Genomic DNA, 5,935 nt, shown 5'->3' on the forward strand with positions numbered 1-5,935 from the left:
GTCATCATGTTCAATTGGTACAAGATGCAATTAACTAATATGATTTGGGACAGCTGTCTCCATTGAGGTCACCAGGGTGTCATGGAGTGAAGCTTCAGGAGGAAGAGCTGACTACTTCCTACCCTGGGCTCCATTTTTGTCAGGGCTCTACAGAGAGACAGAACTGACAAGATATAAAGAGAGGAATAAAACAAAAATCCAGATATTTCTATAAATCCGATTATTTGCCAAATTAAATGTGAAAGCTTGCCTCTATCTCTTTCCATTGTGTGCAGATATTTTGCACAGTGTGGATTTGGTCTCTAGGTGTGAGTGTGCCCTGGACACAATGCATAGTAGACAGACATTGTGCTTCGTTGTAGACACTGTGCTAGGCACGTATTACACATTGCCCCAAATCCTTATCACAAACACATCAGGAGTATGATGGCCAAGGAGGAAGCTGTGGCTCAGCCCATTGAGGCTGTATATCCAGGGATCAACAGCCAGTAAGTGGGTGTGCTGACTCCCAAGGCCAAAGCCCACCTACTTGCCAGGTAACTTTCTAGGGATATGAAGGCATTCTATGTTATGATGGTGTGTGTTACATGAGTGTATCTGTCTACCAAAAGTGTGCTTCCATGATTTATGCAATCAGATATGGGATATAATGGTAACTCATGTTTTTACCCAAGGATTTTTTCATCACCATAAAACATCACTTCTACTCAGCTTTATTCTAATGATTTGAGGCAGAGTTTAAAAATCTGTCAAAATTAAATATATTTTTAACAAAGTGAAGACATCTAGACAAACAGACAATGGGGTAGGAAAGATGGAGCTAAAACCAGGGCTGAGTTTCATTCACAGATGGCTCGAGGTCCTACTCAATTACTAGAAATGGGCTAAATATTCACCTCTAAGCTTTCCAATAAGCAACACAGTAGGAACAATATCAACGCAATAGGCCTCAGAGTCCATGAGAAATAAACTAAACAGTTGCTTAGGGAAAGCAGAGCTATTTCTGGTAAGAAATTCAGAGAGAGTTTTCCTTTGAGTCTTCATAAAGAAGACACTCTTCGATGTAGGGCGCAGCATTAACTACATTCTTATGCAAGTTGTAAAGGCTAAATCTCATAAAATATTTTAATATAGGCCATAACACCAAGCAGCAAAAATAGAGAACTAGAGGATGGGGAGATGGAATTTGCTGTGTTTGGAAATTAATACGATTATTGGTTTTCTGTGTTCTCACTTAATCCAGGGTTTTAAGGAATCTAGAGAAAAATCAGGATTGATGTTTTTCATTAGTGCGTTTTCTTACAACTAAAGCTCTTGAACGCTCTGGGTGGTGGGGAGTTTGGGTTGCACTTGGCTTGTGATGAGTTTCCCAGGGAGATGCACTTCTCAGCTGGACCACCTGAGCACACCACCAGGAAAAGCTTTTGGGTAACCCCGGAGGCAGGAAAATTTCCTATGGGTGCTTTATTCAGCTGTAGTCCTATAATCAGCCTTTCACATAATTTGATAGAACTGACCAATGTGAAATGAAACTGTTAATAAGATCCCAAACTCTCCAGAGAAGAGGACTCTCTATGGCTAGTAGAAACACCCAAATTAAAATAATGGAAACCCAATGGCCATAGTTAGAGAAGGGTGGTCACGTGCCTTTTGTTTCTGAAGAGGGCAGTTCCAAACAAACATGCTGTCTGTGCCTCTGAGCTAAGACAGTTCTTGTAAAGGGAGCTGAGGCACCATGGCTGGAAATCTCCTCCAACCAGCCTGAAAGGGCATCCAATAGACACTTATGGTTTGGGGTTTAGAAAGTACCCAGTCAAGACTGTTATTTTCAACCAATCAGAATTGAATGTGTTCAAATCATTCATTTACATATACAGACCTGATTGAAGACTGTGACAGGAATTTTCTTTATTTAAGCCAGACCCTTTCTTTGTTCTCCAGAATGTGCTTTTGTTTTCCACCAAAGCCTGTGTCTTCCCGATACCTAGATTGTTTTCTATTTAATAAAAAATAAAGTTCTCAACTTTTCCTCCACAGATCTCATGGTTTTTTGTTAGCACCTCAAATAGATGTGTATAAAGGTGGAAAAAGCAAATTTCCAGTGCGTTAGCTGGGGTTAAAGTCTCTGTTTTCACGCGTCGGATTTGGGCTTCATTCCCCAGAACCCACTTCCTTTTAACCAAGTGCATGCTTTCCCTCATGCATATACTTGAGTGATTTCATCAGGTGAAAGGAAGATTATAATGAACATCTCAAACTTTATACAATTTGAGGAAGTCCTTTTCAATATTTGTTTCTGTTTCCATCTTGCCAACCCAGCTCAGGCTGGCCTGACTTCCTTCCACCTTTCCTTTCTTCCTTGTTTACTTCCCATTTTTTGTTGTTGTTGTTGTTGTTGGGTAATTTAGGTATAAGTGTAATAGTCCTTATCACACTTCATACTAGGGAAATGGAGTTCATGATTTCTGGGTTTGGGGCAAGGATTTTATATTAAAAATCATCCAATGATTGGAGGCAAGAAGGAAAATCTCTTCTTTGGGGCCTCCTGAGAAAAGCTTCTAAAGATTTTCAGGGAGCCGTGTGTCCCCAGTGGAAACTGAAAGTATTTCATTTGTTTTATTTTCTTCAGTTGTGGTAGATGGAAAAATGGTCACAGTTCTATGCACCTCCACTCATCAAAAGGCAGGATCAGTTTCCCTCTTCATTGACCCTGAGTTTGACCAGGTTTGGCCAATAGAAGTCAGAGGAAGTGACAGGTGCCAGTTACAAGAAGTTCCACAACCCCTTTTAGAAATCAACTAAACCACTGTGTGAATAAAGCCAGGTTAGCCTGCTGGAGAATGAGGCCCAATTGCTCCCATCATCTCACATGACAGCCAACCAACCACCAGTCATGTGACTGAGGTCATCTTGGACCAGCCAAATTCCAACCAACCTTTTCAGTAGACCTCAGACACATGAACAAACCCAACTAAGATCAACCAACCCTAGACAGTTCTGCAGAGTTGCCCAGTAACACACAGAATCATGACCAATAATAAATGTGTACTGTTTGAAGTTGCCACATTGTTAAGTGGTTTGTTATGCCACAAAAACTAACTGACACATCAACTCTGAAACCTCCTTGGTTTAATCAGGGTGCTGGCAGGTACGGAGCAACTGTGCCCAGGGTAACATTACTTAGTCTCAGAATCATAATTAATTAAATTGCAAGTGACAGAAATATAATAAAATCTGACTTACTTAAAAAGGGGAATTTTTTGGTTCACAGAACCACGCTGCAGCAAGTACAAGAGTGCAACTGCGGACTCTTGGTTGACTAGAACTAGGAATGTGAGCCACATTGAAGTTTGCTCTTTCAGATTCAGTGCAATTGAGTGTGATGGAAACCTTTCTTTAGAAAAGAAAAAAGAAACATCATTCCAGGGTATGTTTACCATACATTCTCATGCAGGGAGGGTGAGGTTGATAAAAGATTGATTTTGTATGCTCCTTGCTAAGTAGCTCTGCCCTCTGGAAGATTCCCTTTGTCTCATGGCCTTTAGAGCTGAGAGCAGAATTAGGCAGACCTCACATGTTGAGGACTCATGGTGGAATTTGTTTTTTCTTTTTCTCTTTCTTTCTTTCTTTTTTTTTTTTTTTTTTGAGACAGGGTTTTGCTCTCGTTGCCCAGGCTGGAATGCAGTGGCATGATCTTGGCTCACTGCAACCTCCGCCTCCCGGGTTCAAGTGATTCTCCTGCCTCAGCCTCCTGAGTAGCTGGGATTACAGGCACCCGCCACCAGGCCAGGCTAATTTTTGTATTTTTAGTAGAGACGGGGTTTCACCATGTTGGCCAGGCTGGTCTTGAACTCCTGACCTCATGATCCGCCCACCTCGGCCTCCCAAAGTGCTGGGATTACAGGAGTGAGCCACCGTGCCTGGCCGGAATTTGTTTTTCTTTCCGGGTGCCTGGAATCTGAACCACCTTCCTATATTTTGGGGATCCTCTACCCACTGTGGCAGAATCTGGCCCCCATTATGTAAATGGAAAAGCCCGGATAGTGCGTTCCCAGCCTCCCTTGCAGCTGGGGCCTAGTCAACATGACCTGCCTCTGCCAATCAGGCACCTGCCCTCAGCTTACAAGACACCTGTGATATGAGGTGGCCATGGCTGCTGGGAACCCATTCTGTGATGATGGTGGTCCTGGGCAGCTGGCCCTGGGTTCTGTGGGGATCCGCAGCAGAGTTTCTAAGGAAAGCACCCAGTGTTCAGTGTCAGAGGTGCATCTTCAGCCAGCAGCTGAAACAGAGGTACTTCTACCAGGCCAGTTTTTGGGCTGCTGATGGCTGCACTGCTTCCTAGCCTGGCTCCCCTGTCTCCTTCAAGATTCAGTGAGCTTTCCAGAACACATTTTTGTTTGTTTGTTTACATTCCCCAGTCATTAGCTATTGCATACAACTATGAAGCCAGGATAAAACCACAGAGCATCTCAGTGAGAGCCCAGGTCCCATCTGTGCTGGTGCCAGCCCTGAAGCTGGACTCAGATTGGGCCATCACAGGCATGGGGATTTTCCTGTAATGCGATCCCTTTGAACTTTGCATATTTATTTTGCCTTGAGTGACTGTTGGCTTGCAACCAATGCCAAAAATCGAGTCATGTCATGATTGCTGAACCTTTGCTTACACTCTGAGGCACAGAATCCAGCCCCATGACTCAGCAAGGTGGACAGGTGTCAGGTCCAAGTATCTTTGCATCCATGGTCATGACCTGAGGAACACTGTCTGCACCATAATCTTACTCTTTTCTATCTGCACTCCGATGGCCCCATTTGAACCAGTTTGTTTCTTATGGCATCTTATTAAAACTCAAAAGCAGCAGTACAAAAAAAATGAGAAAACTTTGAAATGTCTTTTTCAAAAATCCAAGATTGTCCAGTGTTCTTATTATTCATTTTTTATGTAACAAATTACTCTCCAGTTTAGTGGCTTCAAATAATAATTTATTATCTCTCATGATTGGGTTCAACTGATGAATTCTCATGTGGGGTCTCTCAGGTTATTGCATTTACATATTGGCTAAGAGAAGAAGCATCTTAAGGCTCAGTGGGCTGGAAGTTCAAGGTGGCTTCTTCTGTCCCATGTCAGATGTCCAGCTGAGATGGCTGACTGGCAGGAGCTGGCCAACAGATCTCTCTTTCCATGCAGCCTCTTGAAGTGACCACCTCGGGCTTTCTCACGGCCTGGCTGTTGGATTTAGGGGAGAGTTTTCAGATCCAGCACAGTGCCACTTCCACCATATTTTATTGTTCAAAGCAATCCCAGAGTCTCCCCAGATTCAAGGGCAGAATAACATAGACCCCACCTTTCAGTGGAAGGAATATCAACGAATTTGTAGCTATCTTTATTCCTCTACTTGTTGGCGAGAGTTGAAGTCCCAAGAGAAAAACCTGTTATCTGTTGTCTTAACTTGGATTTCCCCAGAAAGAGATACTGAGGCAAAGATTGTGAGTTCAATGTTACCTGTGGAAACACTAGCAGGGTAGTGAGACAGAGGAGGGAAGAGATCCAATGAAAGGTACATTATCAAGCAGGTGACTGAGTATAGGAGATAGGGCTAATCCCAGTAGGGAACTCGGACAATATGTGGATATGTGCAGTCATGCTGACAGAGGTGTGTGGGAGCTGGGATTGTCCACTGCTGCTTCCAGATGTTAACTCCCTGGCACTTCCAGCCACTCTGGCATGTGTGTGCAGAGAAGATCTGGGAGCTTTTCAGGTGGAGAGAAGGCAGGCTTAGGGCTGGAAGCTTTCGGTTGGCAGCACTGGGTTGGGGCATGTTGATAGGCCACCGGCCATATCTGCACCCTAGTGAACCAGTGGCTTCTCTACCAAAATAGGAGCTGGAGGGACCTACGATACTCCTTAACATTTTTCTTCCTTCCCTTTGTGACT

The 5,935-nt window shown here is 43.6% G+C and overlaps 1 annotated feature.

The window, feature by feature from the left end:
- Positions 4,464 to 4,758: an enhancer, noted in NCBI's record as "tiled region #10846; HepG2 Activating DNase matched - State 8:EnhW". NCBI's record gives its function as "activates a minimal TATA promoter and a strong SV40 promoter by Sharpr-MPRA in HepG2 cells {active_cell/tissue: HepG2}" and the evidence as "EXISTENCE:reporter gene assay evidence [ECO:0000049][PMID:27701403]".

The sequence above is a fragment of the Homo sapiens genome, chromosome 20 (assembly GCF_000001405.40).
Source record: "Homo sapiens chromosome 20, GRCh38.p14 Primary Assembly".
Classification (NCBI taxonomy): Eukaryota; Metazoa; Chordata; class Mammalia; order Primates; family Hominidae; genus Homo; species Homo sapiens.